The 22,588-nt window shown below is 47.1% G+C and overlaps 1 protein-coding gene across 5 annotated transcripts in view, besides 1 other annotated feature; it reads left to right on the top strand.

The window, feature by feature from the left end:
- The window catches only part of SLC13A3 (solute carrier family 13 member 3), a 126,658-nt gene that overhangs the window by 101,558 nt on the left and 2,512 nt on the right, over positions 1-22,588 (top strand). For all 5 annotated transcript variants that reach the window (NM_001193340.2, NM_001011554.3, NM_001193342.2 and 2 more), the window contains 3 exons: positions 7,243-7,355; positions 16,538-16,699; positions 19,377-19,514. In NM_001193340.2, the coding sequence (NP_001180269.1) occupies positions 7,243-7,355; positions 16,538-16,699; positions 19,377-19,514 (413 nt within the window). The remainder of the gene's footprint in view (positions 1-7,242; positions 7,356-16,537; positions 16,700-19,376; positions 19,515-22,588) is intronic.
- Positions 14,055-14,556: an enhancer, noted in NCBI's record as "H3K27ac hESC enhancer chr20:45197011-45197512 (GRCh37/hg19 assembly coordinates)". NCBI's record gives its function as "activates a minimal SCP1, AML or CMV promoter by ChIP-STARR-seq in naive H9 embryonic stem cells {active_cell/tissue: H9 hESC(naive)}" and the evidence as "EXISTENCE:reporter gene assay evidence [ECO:0000049][PMID:30033119]".

Genomic DNA, 22,588 nt, shown 5'->3' with positions numbered 1-22,588 from the left:
ACCTCTAACCAAAATGTTGTAGACTGTGGCCTTCAGATTGCCAGCTTGCGACTCCCTCCGGTGTCCAGCAGATGTCTACCAGAAGGTGACGCCAACACCTGAGGCTGCCACCTGGGTCAGTTGGATGAGCTCCTCCGGAGTCAGGAAATAGGGACTATAATCAAACTATTTTCTATTGTTGAGAAAAATAGTGTCACTCAGGATAGCCCCAGCCATGGAAGAGTCAGGGTTTGAGTGTGGGGAGTATAGTGTATGTGTCCTGTAGGAAGATGAGGATTTTGCAAGCTCCATAAACAGTTCTTTCTTTCTTCTTCTTCTTTTTTTTTTAATGGGGTCTCACTCTGTCACCCAGGCTGGGGTGCAGTAGCACCATCACAGCTCAGCGCAGTCTCGAACTCTTGGGCTCCAGTGAACCTCCCACCTCAGACTCCCAAGAAGCTGGGATTACAGGTGTGAGCCACCTCGCTTGGCTAATTTAAAAAAAAAAAAAAATTGTAGCAGGCTGGGCATGGTAGCTCACACCTGTAATCCCAGCACTTTGGGAGGCTGAGGCGGGTGGATTGCTTGAGTCCAGGAGTTTGAGACCAGCCTGGCAACATGGAGAAACCCCATCTCTACAAAAAATTAAAAAATAAAAAAAATAGCTGGGCGTGGTGAGGCATTCCTGGTAGTCCCAGCTACTTGGAAGGCTGAGGTGGGTGAATTGAGCCTGGCAGGTCAAAGCTGCAGTGAGCTGTGATGGCACCCACTGCACTCCAGCCTGGGTGACAGAGTGAAACCCTGTCTCAAAAAAATTTTTTTTGTAGGAACAGGGGTCTTGCTACATTACCCAGGCTGGTCTTGAACTCCTAGCCTCAAGTGACCCTCCCGTCTCTGCCTTCTGAAATGTTGGGACTACAGGTATGAGCCACCATGTGCGACCCATAGACAGTTCCTGTAGCATAGCTGGACCTCAGGGAGGCTGGAACTGGGTCTAAGGAGGCTTAGCTGTGGGCCTGCGTACTCTGCAGTTGAACAGGATTCAGTTTTTCTCCATCTCTGCTTCTTTTCCAGTCAGTCTTCCAAATGGCTGTTCTCATCATTCCCTCTGTATACAATTTCTTAACCTTTTCCTGGTTTCTGCTGCTTATTAGGTTTTGCACCTTTATAGTTTCTGCTTCATTTTAGTCTCTACTTTTGTTCCCTTATAGTGTCTGATCCCCGTGGCTTCTGCCAACTCCACTTCCTCATGTTTTCTATTCCCTGTGGCATCGCCCCTCATACTTTCTGCTCCTTCCTAGCTTCTTCCCCCTGGTGGCAGCCACTTCCTCATGGTGCCCATCTGATGCCTTGAGCCTCTGCTTCCCTGGAGCCTTTGTGTCCTCACAGTATCTGTTTCCTCCTGGCTTCTGCTTCCTCACCCAACTTCAGCCCAGTCATGCCCCTGTGTGTCATACAGCCTCTCTGTTCATTCTTTCACCTTCAGGTGTCACTTCTCTTTGCCCAGTGGGTCTCTGTTTCCCATTGCTGCATCTGAGAGTAAGAGTCGGGTTGGTCCAGCTTGTTCTTCTTGGGCAGATCTCCTTCCACAAGGCTACTTCACAGCCTCGTAGATCCCTGGCCTGCCTATGGATCAGCTGCCCTTGGTCAGGTGCCCATCCATGGTTCTGGCACCTGGGGTTGAACTCACAATGCCCAGGGCTTTCTCTCAGCTGGGCCCATGGGGAAGGCGCTATTGTTGCAGGGCAGGCGAGCCCCCAAATTGGGGCTTAGTCTGGGAGGGTTCTTGGCTTCTTCACCCAGGAAGGAATTCCAGGGCAAGCCAGTGGTTTTAGACAGCAACTTTTATTGACACAGCAGTGCACAGCAGCAGCAGAGGTTCTGCTTCTTGTGGAGTGGGGCTACCCCATAGGCAGTGTGCCCAGAGTAGTAGCTCAGAGGCAGTGCTGCAGTCATATTTATATGCACTTTTAATTATATGCAAATTAAGGGGTAGTTTATGCAGAAATTTCTAGGATAAGGGTGTTAACTTTTAGGTTGTTGAATCATTGCCATGAAAAGGGATGGTAACTTCTGGGTGTTGCCATGGCAATGGTAGATTGACATGGTATACTGGTGGGTGTGTCTTATGGAAAGCTGCTTCCGCCCAGGACCTGTTTTAGCTGGTCCTCAATTTGGTCTGGTTCCCAAGCCCCAACCCTGGAGTGAGTCCTGCCTCCTACCTCACTATGACATAGATGACTGGCATCTCAGCTCTGCTACTAATTTTCTGGGTGACCTCAGGGAAGGTCCTATATTGTCTGAGCCTTACTTTCTCACTTAGAAAATGAGGGAGTCCCTTAGATGCCTTCCACCTCTGGCTTTTACTGGCTTTATAGATCAGGGGTTACAATTGAGTTTGTAACTCAACTGCCTACAAGGAGGTAACACTTATTTTATATATTGTATATATTTATATGTTTTATAAATATATAATCTATTTTATATATTATATATATTTATATATATTTGACCTATATTTTTCTCCAGATGGAAGGTAACATTTGTATACAGCAGATTGGGTACAGGAATATGTGTCTCAAGAAACACATGGCCCTCCTTGTGAATCTTTCCTTTCCCATTTTTGAAACAGAAAGCAGTTTCCTTATTATACAAAGGGAGACAACAGCTGAGATCAGTAAGAAGTGGTGAGAGGCTGGGCGCAGTGGCTCACACCTGTAATCCCAGCACTCTGGGAGGCTTAGGTGGGTGGATCACCTGAGGTCACGAGTCTAAGAGCAGCCTGGCCAACATGGCGAAACCCTGTCTCTACTAAAAATACAAAAATTATCAGGGTGTGGTGGCACATACCTGTAACCCCAGCTACTTGGGAGGCTGAGGCAGAAGAATTGCTTGAACCCGGTTGCAGTGAGCCGAGATCACGCCACTGCACTCCAGGCTGGTTGAAAGAGTAAGACTCTGTCTCAAAAAAAAAAAAGTAGTGATGAGTGCCTCAGTCTCGTGGCAAGGCAGGGTCTGTGGAAAATTGGTGAGCCAATCCCCACTTAAATTAAAGGGGACGGATATTACTTAGCTTCCACTGATTGTGCCCATGCAGGAGAACAGAACTAGTTTAGTCAGATTTGCTGATTTTTCAAAAGAAGCCAAAAATCTAGATTTTTATGTGGAATCTCCCTGGTTTTAAATATTGGCAACTCATTCAAGTTGAAAAACAAATACTATGTGGGCCAACAACAGTAGCACTAAAACATGTGTGTTAAGTCTGGTCCATGGAATGCCAATGTGTGCCCTTAGCCCAGGGGTCTTTGAACTGGAGTTTCCAGCATTTCCCAGTGGGTGGGGAGGGAACTCCATGAGCACTGCCTGTCCTTTGGCCACCAGTGACCCTGTGCAGACTTGGCTGATGTGATACTTTCTGGTATTTAACACTAAAGACTTTTGTGGAGTCTTATATTTTGGTCAGTAAGTTTCCATAGAGAGAAAGTGACTTGTTTAAGGTCACCCTGCTCATTAAAAAGAGTCAGGGCCAGGTGTGGTGGCTCACACCTCTAGTCCCAGTACTTTGGAAGGCTGAGGTGGGAGGATTGCTTGAGGTCAGGAGTTCAAGAAGAGCCTGGGCCACATAACAAGAGCCTGTCTCCAGAAATTTAAGAAATTAGCCTGTGTGGTGGCACACACCTGTAGTTCCAGCTACTCGGGAGGCTGAGGCAGGAAGATTGAGGAGTTCAAGGTTGCAGTGAGCTGTGATGTTGCCACTGCACTCCAGCCTGGGCAACAGAGTGAGACCCTGTCTCAAGAAAAAAAAGAAAAATCGAGGGGGAGAGAGAGACAAAGAGACAAAGGGAAAGAGAGAGACAGGACATAGAACCAGGCATTCAAGCCAGCCTTGATTTTCTTCTTATACTCACCCCACTATTCTTTTGTGGGTCTGAGTTGCACTTGCATTTCTCACCCTTTGTGGTCATTCAAATATTGATTGAGTACCTACTATGTGCTTGTGGTGGAAAAGTAGTTGATGATGATGATGATGATGATGATGATGACGACGACGACGACTTCTCTTTCCTCTTTGCCAACTAGCTGTTCCTCTAGGGATCTTCGTGACTCACTCCATCACTTCATTCAGGGCTCTGTCCAAATGCCACCTCCTGAGAAACCTTCCCTCACTACACCATCTAGAAAAGCGTCTTCCTGTGTTACTCTTTATTCCTTTACCTTATTTTATTTTTCTTCATAGCACATGAAATTTCTTGGCATTATTTATTTATTTTTTAAGACAGGGTCTTGCTCTGTTGCCCAGGCTGGAGTGCAGCCACACAATCTCAGCTCACTGCAACTTCTGCCTCCCGGGTTCAAGCGATTCTCATGCCTCAACCTCCCAAGTAGCTGGGATTATAGGCACCCACCACCATGCCTGGCTAATTTTTGTATTTTCAGTAGAGATGGGGTTTCACCATGTTGGCCAGGCTGATCTTGAACTCCTGACCTCAGGTGACCCGCCCACCTTGTCCTCCCAAAGTGCTGGAATTACAGGCGTGAACCACCATGCCCGGCCAGTATATTTATTTGTTTATCACCTGACTTCCCCCCTGGAATATAAGTTCTCCAAGGAGACAAATTTTCTCTGTTTTGACCATTTCTGTATCCTGAGAGCCCAGAAGAGTGTTTGACACATGGCAGGTACTCAATATATATTTGCTAAATAAATAGCCAAGGACTGACCGGGCGTGGTGGCTCACGCCTGTAATCCCAGCACTTTGGGAGGCCGAGGCGGGCGGATCATGAGGTCAGGAGATCGAGACCATCCTGGAGAACACGGTGAAACCCCGTCTCTACTAAAAAAAAATACACAAAATTAGGCGGAGTTTGCAGTGAGCCGAGATCGCACCACTGCACTCCAGCCTGGGCGACAGAGACGAGACTCCATCTCAAAAAAAATAAATAAATAAAAATAAAAAATAAATAAATAGCCAGGGACTTGCTCTGGGCAAAGCCCTGGGATGAGTCCTTTGCACAGTGGGACCATTTCTTCTTTCCAGTAAGTCTCCGAGGGAAGTGCTGTTAGCCCATTTTGCAGAAGAGGAAATCGAGGCTCAGAAAGGTAGTGACACTGGCCCAAATCACACAGTTGGGGCACAGCAGAGCTAGGATTCAAGTCTAGTTCAAAGCTTGTGCCTTCAGCTACTGCTGTAGACAGTCGGCTGGTATCAGGTTGAGCTGCAGTGGGAAATCCACATAGTCAGAGATTGTGCTTATGAGAAATAGCAGCAAAGGCATGGTTGGATGGGAAAACAATAAAACCCATGGTAGCTAACATTAACTGAGCACTTGGCATGTGACAGACAGTCTGATACGCACTCGCCATTTAATCTGCATTACATGGGACCCTGCTCAAGGCTTTCTTCCTTCCCCAGTCCCATCCACCCTTACCTGCTGCGTGGGGCAAGTCGCTTCACTTTTTCAGACTTCTTGTACTTCTTTAATGAAACGACATTTTATCATCTGAAGGCATAGGGCTGGGCCACCTGCCATGTCTGGTTACCTCATCCAGTTCTGGGCTTAAGTGTATGTTGCATTTGGCCCAAGAATCCCCTCAAGGTATATGACACCTGCATTGCATGTAGATACCATGGGCTGCATGCACCTGTGGGCTACATACACCTGTGGGCTGCATACACTTGTGGACTGATACATCTTTGGGCTGCATACACCTGTAGGTTGCATACGCCTGTGGGCTTCATACATCTGTGGGCTGCATACACCTGTGGGCTTCATACGTCTGTAGACTGCATACACCTGTGGGCTTCATACACCTGCGGGCTGCATACACCTGTAGGTTGCATACACCTGTGGGCTTCATACATCTGTGGGCTTCATACGTCTGTAGACTGCATACACCTGTGGGCTTCATACACCTGCGGGCTGCATACACCTGTGGGTTGCATGCACCTGTGGACTGCATGCACCTGTGGACTGCATACACCTGTGGATTGCATACACCTGTGGGCTGCATACACTTGTGGACTGCATGCTTGCTGGTAGAAGGATTTTATTAAGTAGCTTTTATTATCTTTATTTCCTGACTATAAAATCTTGTTTTAGGTAGACCACTGTGTAACGTTTGGAAAAAGCTCAAAAGGAGAAGCAAAATTTCCATAACTGCTTGACCAGGAAGTGTCCTGGGAGATGGTAAACTGCCTTAAAGGAGTCAGACCCATCCTCCCTGCTTCCCTGGTCACAGCCTGCCAAGAAAAGTCCTATTTCAGGAGTGATTACCCTGCACCAGGCATGGGTCTAAGTGTGTCATGTACATTATTTGACAAATATTTACGGAGTTACCATCAGGTGTCAGGCACTGTTCTAGACCCTGTGGATGCAACTATCAGCTAACTGGAAATGCCTCATCTCCCTGCAGATGCATCATTGTCCTGGTTCGTGTTCACAGGGACTCCCCGGTTCTGTAACTGTGCCATGTGCCGGCTGAGGAAATGGGGCTCAGGGAGGCAAAGTCACTTGTCAAGGGCATGCAGTAAGCCAAGACTGAGGAAGGTCTGTCTCCAAGCCTATGCCCCCAACCCAGGGATGTCACACTACCAGCCACGTGCCAGGTCCAACCCACCACCTGCTTTTGTAAATAGAGTTTTATTTACAACCATGCCCACACGTTTAGGTATGGTCTCTGGCTGTTTTCATGCTACAACGACGGAGTAGTGACAACAGAGACTGTGTGGCCTGCAAAGCCTCAATGATTCACTCGCTAACCCCCTGCAGAAAGTTTGTTGACTCCCCCGCCCACTGTCCTCACCACTGCAGCGCTGCCACTTGCGAGGAAATAAAAATCATCCCATCATTTCGGGGCTCAAAAATACCCTTTGTTTCTATTTTTCTAAATTTCCTTCCTCTTTTTCTTTCCTCTCTGTACATGTTCCAGTACAAAGAAAGCCTTTTCTCTTATAAATGAGGGTAAAAATAGCACTTGTGCCCAAGGGCTGTTGGGAGAGTTAAGTGATGTCCTGCATGTGGAGTTTCCAAAAACTCCCAAGCTGTGGGAACCATGACAATTATTTTCACTGGGAATAGAGCAGCTCCACCTATCATGATGCCTGTGCACTCTCTCCCTAAAGCTCCAAGTCAAATGCTGGATCCACACTTTGGCTTCCTGGGGACCCCTGAGTGTCCCCGGTAAGATGGGGCTCAGGGCTGGTGGCCTCTGCCTCAGGCTGAGCGGCCCTGAGTGTGTGCTGAATCCCTCTCTCTGCCCAGCTCCCAACACAGAGACAGAGCCCTTGCTGACCTGGAAGAAGGCCCAGGAGACAGTGCCCTGGAACATCATCCTTCTCCTGGGAGGGGGCTTCGCCATGGCCAAAGGCTGTGAGGTAAGACCCCCTGGCTCCCCCAACCAGCAGGAACAGTGGGAGGCAGGTGTGGGCGGGTCCCAGTGCTGGCTGCAGCACCAGGATCAGAGCAGGTGAGCTGCACGGGCCCTGGGGGCACAGCCAGTTTCCTCACTTGCCAAACTGAGATGATCATAGTTCATTCCTGGTGCTACAGAGAAAGAGAGGAATGAGTTATGGCCTGGATCCTTAAGGAGCTCATGATGGGCAAAATATTAATATAATACTAATACTAATAATACTAGGACTCGAGGGCTCTGTGACTTCAGAGGGATAACAACATATTGCGCTCACCCAATGCCAGACACTGTTCAACATGCTTGTGGAGGTGGAAGGATGGCTTCAGGCCAGGAGTCCAAGATCAGCCTGGGCAATATAGTGAGACCCTCTCTCTTTTTTTCTCTCTCTTTTTTTGAGACAGAGTTTCACTCTGTCACCCAGGTTGGAGTGCAGTGGTGCCAACACAGCTCACTGCAGCCTCAGCCTGCCGGGCTTAATCAATTCTCTCACCTCAGCCTCCCAAGTAGCTGGGACTGCAGGGATGCCTCCCCATGCCCAGCTAATTTTCTTTTGTATTTTTTTTTTGTAGAGATGGGGTTAAAAAAATTAGCCAGGTGTGGTGGTCCTAGGCTGGAGTACAGTGGAGTCATGATCATAATACTGTACTCCAGCCTGGGTGACAGAGCGAGACCTCATCTCTAAGAAAAAAAAAAAAGAAAAAGAAAAAAACATGCTTTACACGTTAACTCATCTAAACCTCCCAACAAAGCTAGAAGGTAGATACCATTCTTATGCCCATTCTCTAGATAAAGAACTTGAGACACAGAGAGATACAGTACCTTACCTAATGTCACACAGCTATGGAGTCAGGATTAGAATCCAGGCAGTTCGGCTCTAGAGTCTATGCTCTTAACCACTCTCATATAAGTCCTAGATAGTAATATTAATTAGTTCATGGATGTTATTATTAATGTTATTCCAGAGGGCTTTGTGAGCTCAGAAGTCAGGGCTGGGACCAGGGTGGGGCAAATGAGGCACACGGAGTGCAGAATTGCAGGGAGTGCTCACTCTCCGGGGCGTGCAAGTGCGGGTCAGCCAGCCCAGCTCAGAGGCAGTGCAACGTCAGCATCCAGCATCTGTCACCACAGATTATCTCACTGAATCGCCACACCAGCCCTAAGAGTTGGGTAATGTTTTTATGCCTCTTTTACAGATAGGAAAACTGAGACATGAAAAATTAAGCAACTCTCTTAAATTCTTACAATTGCATTCCGCTTGGGAGCTGGGGTTCAAACTCTCCCTGATTTCAGAGTCCGGGCTCCAAATTGTTCACTCTAGAATTTTGCACATGCCAGCCATTGTTTGAAGTGCTTCGTGAATCGAATATGACTCAGTCGATCTTTATAAACACCACTGAATCAGCTACTATCACTGTCTCCATTTTAAAGATGAGGAATCGGAGGCAAAAGGAGGCTAAATAGCTCGCCTACGTTTGCACAGCCAGGAGATGGTAGAGCCAGGATCTGAAGCCAAAGGTCAGGTGGCTGAGCTCCGTCTCACCCCTGAACGCCTTGTAAACCGAGGCGTTAAAAACCACAGCCAATTAAGAGTCAATCTGAAATTAAGGTTAAGGGAAGCTGAAATTACTTCTTTTACTGCTTCTGTTGTTAATTCAATTTTAATTTTCAGTTTCAAATGAAGTTACAATGTTGGACGCCTGTTAACTGTGTACACTGGGCAGAAGCCCAGGCTTGGGAATCTCAGTACCTGGTCAATCTAGGCTCTACCACTCCTTGCTGGGACACGTCAGGCAGGTTTCTTAACCTCTCTGGGTTCCTATTTTTCTCATCCATAGATTGAGGCTCAAAGTTCTTACTCTACAGGGTTGTTGGAAAAAATTAAAGAATAACTGCCCAATACATATAGCCGATAAGAAGTGCTAAAAACTGCATGTACACCAGCTCATAAATCCTCATGTCATGGTTTCTACAGGTTGGGCTTTCAGGAAGCAGACTCTGGGATGGAGATTCGGAAGCACGGGCTTCATTAGGTTGTGCCCTTGGGGTCACTGTGGAAGGGAGAGGAAGGAAGCAGGAGAGTGCAGAGGGAGAAATGCAGCTGGAGGCAGTCCCAGCCCCACAGGAGCACTGGAGCTGAGATGACCTTTAGAGGCAGTCCGAGTAATCAGAGATAGCCAGGCCCTTGTATCCCAGCATCCATCTGTCTGGGGACACAAGCTGCCCCAGGTGCAGGTATGACCTCAAGTGAGGCCGCTTTTGGGGTCTGAGACAGCCGACTGCACTCCCTTAGCTGGGGCAACAAGATCTCCACTGATGGGGATCTGGGTGGCACATTCAGGCTCTCTACATAGCTGCTCATTTTTAAATAAAATATGTTTTACTTTATTAATTAAAAAACACATAAATAACGATACAGACTTCAAAGGGAACAAAGGAATAGATGAGCAAAAGTACTGTTATTTGTCTCCATTTTAGGAATCGTGAGACACAGAGAGGTTAAGTAACTGGTTCTGGGTAACACAGCTCATTAGTAGCAGAGGTAAGATTTGAACTCATGTCTATCTGACTTATGCTATTGCCTCCTGCTGGGGGTGTCTTAGGGAAGGCTTCCTGAAGGAAGTGGCATGTTATCCAGATCTTGAAGAAGCTTGCAGTACGATGGAACCAGACCATCTGGATTGGAATCACAGATTTCCCACTTCTTAGGTGTATGATCTTTGTCAAGTTACTAAACCTCTCTGGGCCTCAGTTTCCTCATCTGTAAAATTGGAATCACAACGGCACCCACCTGGTAAAGTTGCCATGATCATTAAGTGAGTCAATATATGCAGAGAAATGAGAACACAGCCCAGCACAGTTGGTTATTATGGTTAGATACTGAGGAAAAGGAAAATCAAAATCAAGAATCATGTGGAGGTTCGTGGCTTGAGCAACTTGGTGGAAATGGTGCCATTTACCTCAGTGATCTGAGCCCAGCCTGGCCTAGAGGAAGGAGGCTGGATGAGATGACCCTGATCCAGAGGTTTCCCTAAGCTCCAGAAGTGGTGTGGGGAGCACTGGCTCTCAGTGGAGGCTGGGCTGCGGGACGCTGGGCATGCTGAGAGGCCACCCTGGCTCTGAGCCCAGCCCTGGGCAGCTGGCCGGAGTTTCTCTTCAACAGGGGCTTTGTGTAGTAGCTGTTCCTTTCCCCAGCCTCTGCCGTACCATCCTCTCCCCAGGCAGCCGCAGCCTGGCCCAGGAGCGACCAGAATGCTTATGGCACATCCTGGTTCCTGGCCCCTGCCCCACACTCTCATCAGAACACAGCCTGGCAGCCTCCTGAGGATCGGAGGTCCCTGGATGCAATCCAGGGTGAGCCTGGGTGTGTGGGCTCCCAGCGCTCATTCTGAAGGGCAGGAAGTAGTGCTTACTCTGAGCCTCAGCAACTCACTTAAGCCCACTTAGGGTCCTCACTACAGTTTTCTCCTGCCACAAAACCGTATAGTCATGACTCTGCATAGACTTAAAGTCAAGTCCAAGGTTTCCCTTGGCCAACACAGAAAGCTGTATGGGACAATGTAGGTCTCAACATTGGCACCTACCTCTCTTCCCTCCTAACACCCCTCCAGTCTCCTTGGCCCCTTCCTCAGCCACATCAGACTCACATGCACCCCACAGCCTTTGCATCTTCCCTTTCTCTGTTGAATTTTCATCCTGAGAGCTCTGAGTCCTCACTCTTCAGGTCTCAGTCCCTCAGAAATGCCCTCCCAAGCCCCCACATCTAGAATAGCCTCCCACCCCAGTCCCTCTTCCTCTCATGACCCTGCCTATTCCTATATACCACATCTACCCCCCAAATGATCCTGTGGGCATGTTTATTGATTGTGTCTCTTACTAGAATGGAAGCTCCATGAGGGCAGGCAGAGACCATGTCTGTCTTACCCACCACTGTTCTAGGCACCTAGAAGACACCGGGTGCGTAATGGTGCTTAACACATCATTGTTGCTATGACCTACAAGATGGGCTGCTTTGAGAATTGCTAACATAATGTATGGAAAGTACCCAGAAGAGTGGTGATATACCCTGGGTGCTCAAACCAGGAGCCACACTCATCTTCACTATTATTATTACTGTTATTATTGCATTAATTCATTGAGGAAAGGTTGATCTTATTCTGTTGCCACAACAAACTTACTTACAAATATGTTGCGGTGATAGAGGTAAGGAGAAAATGTGTATTCTCCCCATTCCTCATTTTCTGCCAGAAGTCTGTCATCTTTATTATTGACATAGTTTGGCTGTGTCCCCACCCAAATCTCATCCTGAATTGTGTAGTTCCCATTATCCCCACATGTCATGGGACCTGGTGGGAAGTAATTTAATCGTGGGGGCGGTTACCCTTATGCTGTTCTTGTGACAATGAGTGAGTTCTCAAGAGATCTGATGATTTTTTGTAAGGGGCTTTTCCCCCTTCTGCTCGGCACTTCTTGCTGCCACCATGTGAAGAAGGACGTGTTTGCTTCCACTTCCACCATGATTGTAAGTTTCCTAAGGCCTCCCCAGCCATGCTGAATTGTGAGTCAATTAAGCCTCTTTCCTTTATAAATTACCCACACCCGGGTATGTTTTTATTAGCAGAGCGAGAATGGACTAATACAATTATTATTACCCTCATTTTATCGGACAGACAAGCCTAATGACATGACTAAGATCCAGATTCTGAATCTTACTAGGGCACGTCATATTATTTATTTGGGCAAATCACTGAGCTTTTTTATGCTTCAGTTTCTTCAACCATAAAATGGAGATAATTGTACAGATGGTTCCTGACTTCACAACGATTCGACATACGATTTTTCAACTTTGCAATGGTGAAAGAGTGATATGCATTCAATAGAAAGGGTACTTAGAATCTTGAATTTTGATCTTTTCCCAGGCTGTGATATGTGGTGGGACACTCTCTTGTAGATGCTGAGCAATTATAAGGGTAAACAACAGATATTCTACAGTGTATAGCATTGCCAGATGATTTTGCCCAAATGTAGGCTAATGTCAGTGTCCTGAGCGCATTTAAGGTAGGCTGGGCTAAGTTATGATGTGAACAGGTAGGTTAGGTGTATTACATGCATTTTCTACTTCAATATTCTCAATTCGTGATGGGCTTATTGAGACATAACTCCACTGTAAGTCAAGGAGCATCTGTAGTCTGTATTCCATGAGGTTGCTATGAAGATTAAGTAATATTTACAAATTACTTAGAAGAGTGCCCAGCACAGAGTAAGCACTATGTTGCTTTGTTAAATTAAATGATAGATCATATTCAGTGCTTACTAAGTACAGAGAGTGTTTCGTGTGCACTTATTTAATCCTTACTGCAATCGCTTAAAGAAATCAAGGAACAGAGATGTTAATTAATTTGCCCAAAGTCACACAGCTTGTAAATGGTGCAGTGGTTTGAATGTTTATACATGTACATAAAGCCTTGTCTTTTTTCCTTCCTTTAATCAAATTCGCTGGTCTCTTTACCTAGGAATTATTATACAAAGTTGTATGCACACAGCCGAGCCCGTTGTGTTTTACAAAGCCTTTTAAAAGATTTTCAAGGGTATTTTGGCCACAGGAGTTTTTGACTTCAAATATTGAACTTATGCCATAACAAACCCCCTTATAAGATGCTCCTCTACTGTATATCAAAGACACCAAGAAGAGAGGACCTGGTTGAAGTAAGAAAACAGGAGGAAGAGGGAAACATCACTGTACCAACTCCATCTCCCCACCTCCCATTTTTGCAAGGTGGCCTTGGGTACTTCTGGTCATCTTCAAGGCCACTAAGGAACATAATTTGACAACCACTGTGCTGGGTGATTTCTGAGTTCCATCACTTCAGGCATCTTGTGACTTCATGCTACTGGTTATGGCAGGCGCTAACCAAGCGCCCAGCCACTTTCCTAGGCCCTTTATAGATTCACTCCTTTTCTCCCAACAATAACCTTCTGGGACAGGCACTATCATTATCCCTCGTTTACAGATAAGGAAATTTTAGCACAGAGAGGTTAAGTGACTTGCCTAGGAAGTTAAGTGACAGCTAGAAAAGATTAAGCTGGGAAGCAAACTCAGTCTGACTCCAGAGCCCCTTCTCTTCACCTTCTGGCCATGCCACCTCTGACCTTGGCTGTTGCTGGTCCCTGGAGTCCCTGGGAATACTGTGGGGCTGTGTGTTTCCAAGGAAACAAAGCTTCCAATTCCTAAGAATATGGGAAAGAGTCTGGGGCATGGTGGCTCATGTCTGTAATCCCAGCACTTTGGGAGGCCTAGGCAGGAGGATCGCTTAAGCCCAGAGGTTCAAACCAGCCTGGGCAACATAGTAAGACCCTGTCTCTACAAAAAAAAACACTTAAAAAAATTTAGCCAAACATGGTGTTGTGTGCCTGTAGCCTTAGCTACTCAGGACACTGAGGTGGGAGGCTTGCTTGAACCCAGGAGATAGAGGCTGCAGTGAGCTATAATTGTGTCACTGCACTCCAGCCTGGGTGACAATGTGAGGCTCTGTCTCAAAAAAATAAATAAAATAAAATGGGAAAGGGCAGGTGAAGTCCCTTTAGAGTCCCCAGTAGAACCCTACGCAACAGGCGTTTTCCTCTCTTAGGAAGCTGCCAGACCTCCCTCCAGCGCTGGAGCTGTGCCAAGGCCTGTGTGGCTGCGAGGATGCTGGCTGGAAGCCCGGTCACTCAGAGGCCCAGCTACGGGGCAGCTCCTGGCTTCTCACTTGCCCGAGTCATTAATATTCCCTCTCTCTAGCCCCTCTCCCTTTAATTGCGCACAGAGCTGTCAGGTCAGACTCTTTGCCAGAGCTGTGGCCTATGGGAAAAACCAGAGGTCCCATTTTCTCCCTGCAGCACTCCTTGCAGCCAGGTTAGGGGCTGTGGCCTCCACGCTGCCACTTACCGTATTCCCCAGGCTAGCAGACAAACTGCAGGTGTACCAGAAACACCTTAGTTTCATGAGGACTCTTCTGGGGACAAATATTTTTAAGCATTTATTATTCTTACATTGAAGGTAACTTTTAAGTCAAATTGTAGGGGCAAGTGTACTATTTTATTTATGTAAAAACTGTATGCTCTATTCTATTTTTTTTTTTTTTTTTTTTTTTTTTGAGATGGAGTCTCGCTCTCTCTGTCACCCAGACTGGAGTGCGGTGGCGTGATCTCAGCTCACTGCAACCTCCGCTTCCCTGGTTTAAGTGATTATCCTGCCTCAGCCTCCTGGGTAGCTAGGATTACAGGCGTGCACCACCACGCCTGGCTAATTTTTGTATTTTTTTTTAGTAGAGATGGGGTTTCACCATGTTAGCCAGTCTGATCTCGCACTCCTGACCTCAAGCGACCTGCCCACCTTGGCCTCTAAAAGTGCTGGGTTACAGGCGTGAGCCACCATGCCTGGCCCTGTATGCTGTCTTCTAGAATCGATTATGAAATTTTTAAGTTCTGAGTAAGCAGGGACTTTTCTATTAAAAGTAAAAATATATATATAAAGTGTCTTTGGTATACTGGATTGATAAAAGGGCTATGGTAGCAATACATTGGATTCTGAATGTTAATGGACTAACCCAGCTCTGCCCTAGATCAGCTCCAAAACCTACAGCTTTGTTCTAGGTCTAAGCAAACGGTGGCTTTATTGTGATCTTGCTGCATCACAGTTGCACCAGGGGACAGCATTGAGCATATTTTGACATCCTCAGCTTTGCCGTTTTGTGGTTATAATGATGTGTTGGGTCAGTTATTTAAGGATGCATTTGATGGTGAGAGGACAGAGGTGCGGAAGAGTATTCTAGATGTTATACACTGGTAAATAGGGTAGCTTCTGGAGAAGTCAGCAGAGAGAGCACCCAAATAATTCTGCAGCACTGACAGGCGAGTGGAGTCTCGGTGAACTTCTCTACCCGTCTCTGCCCTGGAGGACTGGAGTCAGCACTGGGCATTGCTCTTAATTTACAGACAAGGTGACAGACTGGTGGGTCCAGAGGAAGATGCTGATTTGCGGGGAGCTTTGCAGAATCACACATCTTATGGAGGTAGATGGGTGTCTCAGGCACTACTTTTAGGGATCCTGGGCAAGTCACAAAAACTTTTTCAGGCTGAAGTTCCTCCTCAGTAAAACAGGAACCAATATTTACCTTTTGGGATGGTTGGGAGGAGTCAAGGAGCTAATGCCTGCAGGTGCCTGGTCCCCTGTAAAGCCTCAATAATGGTGATTCTTACGACAATGAATAATAATGCAACGTTAATATTTGTAGTATTATCATTGTAGTAATTATCCTTATTACTGTATGTGTGTATATATACAAATACATATATATATGTAGCTTTTGAGACAGAGTTTCTGTCGCCCAGGCTGGAGTGCAGTGGCGTGAGGTTGGCTCATTGAAACCTCTCCCTCCCAGGTTCAAGCGATTCTCATGCCTTAGTCTCCCGAGTAGCTAGGATTACAGGCACACATGTGATTTTTGCATTTTTAGTAGAGGCAGGGTTTCGCCAGGTTGGCTGGCCTGGTCTCGAACTCCTGACCTCAAGTGATCCGCCTACCTCAGCCTCCCAAAGTGCTGGGATTACAGGCGTATAAATACCATTATTATTGATAATTACATTGATTGTGTTGTAGTTGATGTATATCTGATACGTGTTTTATATATGATATATAGTAAGTCTTGTATATATATTTCATACATATTAATATATTATTAAATAATAATTATAAAAATAATGAATATTTTATATAAGTAACTATTATGATTTGGGTAATTAATAACCTTCACTGGAGGGATGAGAAGTTTTACTACTGAGGGTCTGGTTTGATTTCCCTTTCCCACTTAAATCGGTGCTTAGGGGTGCTAGAACCAAATGGATTATTGGAGACCCAGGGGTTTGGGTCCCTGGCCTGTATGAGATAGAGTGGAGAGCAGTTCGAGAAGTAGAGAGGCTGCTGGCTCAGATGTGTGACCTTGGCTCGAATGTGTGACATTGGACACGTCACCTCCCCTCTCTGCACCTCAGTCTCCCCATCTGGGAAGGGGTATGGTCGTCATTGTTGTGATCTATCCTAACCCTCTCTGGGGGGCGGCAGCTGGGGATGGGCTGGGGTATGAAGGAATGCCTTTCCCTCCGCAGGAATCGGGGCTGTCTGTATGGATTGGTGGGCAGCTGCACCCCCTGGAGAATGTGCCCCCCGCCCTGGCTGTGCTGCTCATCACTGTGGTCATCGCCTTCTTCACTGAGTTTGCCAGCAACACGGCGACCATCATCATCTTCCTGCCGGTCCTGGCAGAGCTGGTGAGGGTCCTTCTGGGGAAGAGGGGAGCACCCCTCCCCCAACACACATTCAGAAATCTTCCCCCGCCAAGGGACCTTCACTGGGGGCCACAGTTGCCATTGCTGTCTTCCAAAATACATGAACGTATCAGAACCACAGTACAATTTTTTTAAATACTGGATGTTTTCCTTCAAAAAATGTATACATAGAGTAAATATTTTCAAAGTGCTCCCAATTCTCTCTTCTGGGAAAATTAACCCATGGTGACATGGAGAGTTTTCTAGAACAGGTAAATTACCAATTTTGGATGAAGAAGAAGTAGAAAATCTGAGTAAACAAATGGCCATAGGAGAAATTCTAATGGAAGCAAAGCAGTAGCCTCCCTCTAAAGCAGGGGTTTCAACACTGTTGATAGTTGGGGCTGGATCATTCTCTGTATGGGGCTGATCCGTGCACTACAGGGTGTGTAGTGGCATCCCTGGGCTCTGCTCACTAGAGACAAGTGGCGCCTCCCTAAATCATGACAATCCAAATGTCTCCTAGCATTCCCAAATATCCCCGTCAGGGGAACAAATCCTTCCCCCTACCCAGCTGATGACTCCTGGGCTAAAAATCACCAGCCCCAGGCCGGGCTCTGCCACTCATGCCTGTAATCCCAGCACTTTTGGAGGCTGAAGCAGGCAGATTGCTTGAGCTCAGGAGTTTCAGACTAGCCTGGGCAACATGGTGAGACCCCATCTCTGCAAAAAATACAAAAAGTAGCCAGGCTTAGTGGCAGGTGCCTGGGCAACAGACCCAGATCCAGATCCTGTCTCAAAACAAAAACAAAAACAAAATCACCAGCCCCAGGTGGTTTGCTGGGTGAGAGCTAGCAGATTTGCAAGGAACAGAGAGTTCCCAACTCACCCAAACTGTTCACCAGCATAGAAAAATAGACATGGCCACTCAATTTATAGCTAGCAAAACCCTGGCCCCAAAACCAGGTAAGGAGAGCAAGGGAAGAGAAAGCTATAATTCAATCTCCTGTAAAAAGAAATGCAAATAGCAAAATGAAACCATGACAGAATGAAAAGAACAATATACACATGATCAGGTAGCTTTTATACTAGGAGTTTTAAAAAGGAAACTATCAATATAGTTTTATATTTAAACAGATTAAAGACCAGACCATGTAATTACCTTAATGTAACCCACGCTGATAAAATTAAATCAATGATGCAAGTAAATGCTTTGTATGCAAACAGTGATGCCCCAGCACACATACCTGCAGCACCTTGTCTTTGGTTTCTGTCTGCTTATTTTATGCATCAATTTATCTGTGTTAGCACACAGATATACACTGTGTTATTTTTCAATGACGGGAGAATATTCCATTATAAATGGACAGTTGTTGGTTTATTTAAGCAATCTCTCTGCCCAATGGAAATATAGGTATTTCCAGACTTTGCTGTTACTCAACAATGACGTGTCACCTGAGCCTTGTCTATGCATTCATTGATTACATCTAGAGAAATTCCTGTGACTGAGATTCCTGGGTCAAAGAGCATGTACGTTTAAAATGTCGTTAGAGATGAGGAAATTGCCCTCCAAAGTGGCTCACCATTTTATAGCAGTATGGGGTGGGAGTCCTCAGAGGGACCTGGTCACTGAGAGAAATGAGAGTATTATAGGGGGTATGGGGACGGAGACGGAGCATAGAACCCAGCCAGGTCTGTAAGGGGCAGCTTTTGCTGGAAAAGACACTTGTAAATGACACATTCTTGTAAACTTTGCTTATCATCAAAATCAAAAAACATTTTACATGCAAGGGGGTGATTTTAGAGCTTTTTGAGAAAATAAATATGCTTTGGGTTGCAAAAATTCCCTAGAAGGCCCAAAAATATCCTATTTAAGTAAAACGCCATAAAAGTGATCAGTATGAATTGTAGGCAGGAGAGGTGACAAACTGGTGGCCCACTAGCTGAGGCCAGCTCATAGGGGGGTTTGATACACACAGTCTTAGAAATTTGGAAGAGCTGCCAACAGATGCTCTCATGAGCTCTCTTTCTCACTGAAATCCAGGGATGCCCCCAACAAGAGGTATCCAGAGGCCAACTCTGGGTTGAGATTGTTTGGCTGAGGGAAGGAGCAGGCAGAGGAAGTATTTTAAAGCCCTGGTTCTCAGTGTACAGTCCTTAGACCAGCAGCACCGGGGGAACACGTCAGGAATGCAGATTCTTGGATCCCACCCCAGACTTGCTGAATCAGCAATTCTGGGTGAGGTGGGGCCAGCCATGTGGGCTTTAACCAGCCCTCCAAGTGCTTTTCTGCACTCTCACATTGGAGAAGGAGTGTTCTAGGTACACCACCCCAGCCCATCCCTGATCAAACCACAGTGTGGCCCTTGAATGTCACTAACCCTGGGAATGTTCTCTCCACCTCTCTCTCGATCTGGTTCTCTTCTTACCTGCTTGTCTCTGTTTCTGCCTGTGCATGTGTCTTTCTGACTGCCTTTCTCTCTCTGTCTCTCTAACTCTCTCTTCTCACTTGTCCCTGTTGTTCTCTGCCACTCTGCCAATCTCTATGGATGTCTTTGTCTCTCTGTCTCTACGTCTTTGTGTCCCTCTTTCCAACTGCCTCTCTCTCTCTCTCTCCCTCTTGCTGTGGTCGCTCTGCGTTGGTCTCTCTCCGGGTCTCTCCCACCTTTTCCTGGCCCAGGCCATCCGCCTGAGAGTGCACCCCCTGTATCTGATGATTCCGGGCACAGTCGGCTGCTCCTTTGCCTTCATGCTCCCGGTCTCAACGCCCCCCAACTCCATCGCCTTCGCCTCTGGACACTTGCTGGTCAAAGACATGGTGAGTCTGGGCATTTCCCAGCAGAGGCCCCGGGATGTGGGTGGGCCGCAAGGGGGCGGGCAAGGCCTCTATGCAGGACTCCTGCACGCTGACCCCACTCCCCAGTCTCTGAATAGATCTTTCTGAGTGGGACCAGGAACATACATTTAGCAGAGACTCTGGGATGATTCCTGCACTTAGACAATCTCAGGAAACACTGCCTTAGTGACTACTTTCCAAAATTTGCTCCAGAGGCAAGGAACTTCCCCTTCCCTCTGGACCCCACTTCGTGCCCAGAATCTTCGGGGGAGAGAAGCAGCAGACACACCCTAGGACTCAGGGGTGGGCCTCAGTGCTCAGCCAGCTGGGAAGGAGACAGAAGCGGAGGACTGTAGCAGTGGGAGGACCCCACCAGCTTTCAGCAGGGCCCAGCCATTGGCAATATGTTCCCTCCCCCGGAAGGTCCCTGCTGAACCAGCTCCTCCCTTCCCGCTCCTGACTCCTGCGGCCTTTTCCCTCTCCACTGGCTTTGCAAATAACCCTTCCAAAGCTGTCAAAGCCAAGACGGGCGACCTGCTTAACCAATCGCGATGCAGGCCCTCCAGGCACAAGACCCCTGCAGGACACATGGGGAGAGAGAGCGAGAGTGAGAGCGAGGCAGAAAGGGAGACACAGAGCAAACAGAGAAGAGACGAGACAGAGACTCATTGATTTGTTCGTTCATTACAGCACTATTTACTGAGTGCATTCTATGTTCCAGCCACTGGGGGCACTGCAGAGTGGGAGAGACACCGATCCGCCTCCTAGGAGGCTGCTTTCTATTGGTGGAGACAGACGTGAACAAGTTCAGCAGATTTTCCTAAATTATGTAAAATTTCAATATTGCTAGGTGCTCAGAAGGAAATAAAACATGAGGAAGTGTAAGAGGACGGGGGAGAGGGGTGGCAGGGAAGCCCTCTCCAGGAAGGTGACATGGGAGCTGATGATCATGGGAAGCCGCCAGCCTCACAGAGAAAAAGGGGAAGAGCAGTCCCAATGGAGGGCACAGCAGGTACAAAGGCCTGGAAGAGAGGAATAGCAGCGAGTGCTCCAGAAATTCAGGGCCAGGAGGCTGGGGTGGCTGCAGTGGAGTTGGAGAAGGATGAGGTTGGAGACACGAGGTCAGGGAACAGCGGGGACAGGACAGACTTGGTATCTTATTCAAACCACAGTGGGGACCCTCGGTAAGCAGGGCAATGATGTGATTTCACTTCTGTCTGTAGAAGATCATTTTGGCTGCTGGCTGGAGTGAATCGTTAGGGTGGGAGGGACAAGTGTGGAAGCAGGGAGGCTACTTAGAGAAAAAGACTGAGAGGGCAGCAATGCAAACAGCATAGATTTGGAGAATAAAGACAGCCAGAGAAATGGAGAGTCCCCAAGAGGTAGAGACTTGCAAGAGATGTGGAGGGGTACAAGGGGCACCCCCGGTCAGCCAGTCCCGGGCAGGGATGGCCCACCTGCAGGTTCGCTCCTGAGAGTAATGAGTTAGGTGTTAATGAAGTAGCTAACATGGGACCAGCAGGAATTTTGAGCCCTGGCAAAGGGAGACCCAATCCTCCCCCAGTTTCCCCAACATGTCGGCCCGACTCCCTCTAATCCTCCGAAGGTGCCAGGGCTTCCACCTCTGTGCCCTTAGAAGAGAGGCAGGACAGCACACGCAGTATGTCCCCCACCCGTCCGTGGTAATATTTATTTAACACCTTTACTAAATCAGCTTGACATTAAAAAAAAAAAACAAAAAAAAACTTGAATAAGAATATTCCAGAAGAAATGTTTCCAGTGCATCCATCAATGGAAAACCGGTATTATTAATATATGCCATGGCCAGTAAACCTAAAAATAAATGCAAAGCGGCAAAAACAAAAGAATTAAGCTCTCCCTGATAGCAGCTGCCTGGAGAAGGTTCTGGGCCTCTCCTTGTTAAAAGGGCAACTGACAGGAGCAGAGAAGTGCTGAAGCCATGGTGGCCCCTGTGAACCCCAAAAATCTGAGACAGGTCTCAGTAAATTTAGGAAGTTTATTTTGCCTAAGTTAAGGACATACGCCTGTGACACAGCTTCAGGAGGTCCTGACGACATGCACCCAAGGTGGGTGGAGCACAGCTTGATTTTATACATTTTAGGGAGGCATGAGACATCAATCAACATATGTAAGATGAACATTGGTTTGGTCCGGAAAGGCGGGACAACTCAAAGAGGGCAGGGGGCTACCAGGTCATAGGTATATAAGAGACAAATGGTTGCATTATTTTGAGTCTCTGATGAGCCTTTCCAAAGAAGGCAATCAGATATGCATTCAACTCAGTGAGCAGAGGGATGACTGAATAGAATGGGAGACAGGTTGGCCCTAAGTAGTTCCCAGTTTGACTTTTCTCTTTAGCTTAGTAATTTGGGGGCCCCAAGATTTATTTTCCTATCACACCCCTAAGAGAGACTTTCTCTGGGAGGAATAGACAGAAAGAGAATTAGAAAGGAAGTAACTGTCTCACCATGTGATTCAGCCTGGGCTATGTGAAGGCGGGGCAGCCAGAAGACCCAGGTGGGAAAACAAGGATTTTCAGCCCAAGGTGGACTGAATGGTCCAAGAGGCCAGCCAGGGTAGGGAGCAGATGGGCACATTCTCCACCGACAGAAGAAAAATGCTTCCCAATGGACAAGGGTAGTCTTGACTAGGACTACCTGACTGGACTGGACCTGAAGTGTGTGTGTGTACCTATGTGTACATATGTGTGTTCCTACATGCATGCGTGTGTGTGTGCATGCGTGTGTGTATATGTGTGTGGGATGGGGGTGTTTAGTGATCAGACAAGATTATTTTCAAGTTAGGTGACCTTGGACAAGTCAACTTCTCTAGGTCTCATTTTTCTCTTCTATAAAATGGGGATTAATAAGAATGACCTTTGTAAGGTTGCTTTCTGGGTTAAACAGCATAACCCTGTGACAACTGCGTAGCACACAGTGCCTGGAACCTAGAGGCCATCAATGAATGGGGACACTTGCAGCTCTTTGAGTGACAGCCTAGGGTAGTGTAAAGATTGAAGGGTCCCAGGCATTTAC

The sequence above is a fragment of the Homo sapiens genome, chromosome 20 (genome assembly GCF_000001405.40).
Source record: "Homo sapiens chromosome 20, GRCh38.p14 Primary Assembly".
NCBI lineage: Eukaryota > Metazoa > Chordata > Mammalia > Primates > Hominidae > Homo > Homo sapiens.
This window is presented reverse-complemented; position numbering and strand designations above follow the sequence as displayed.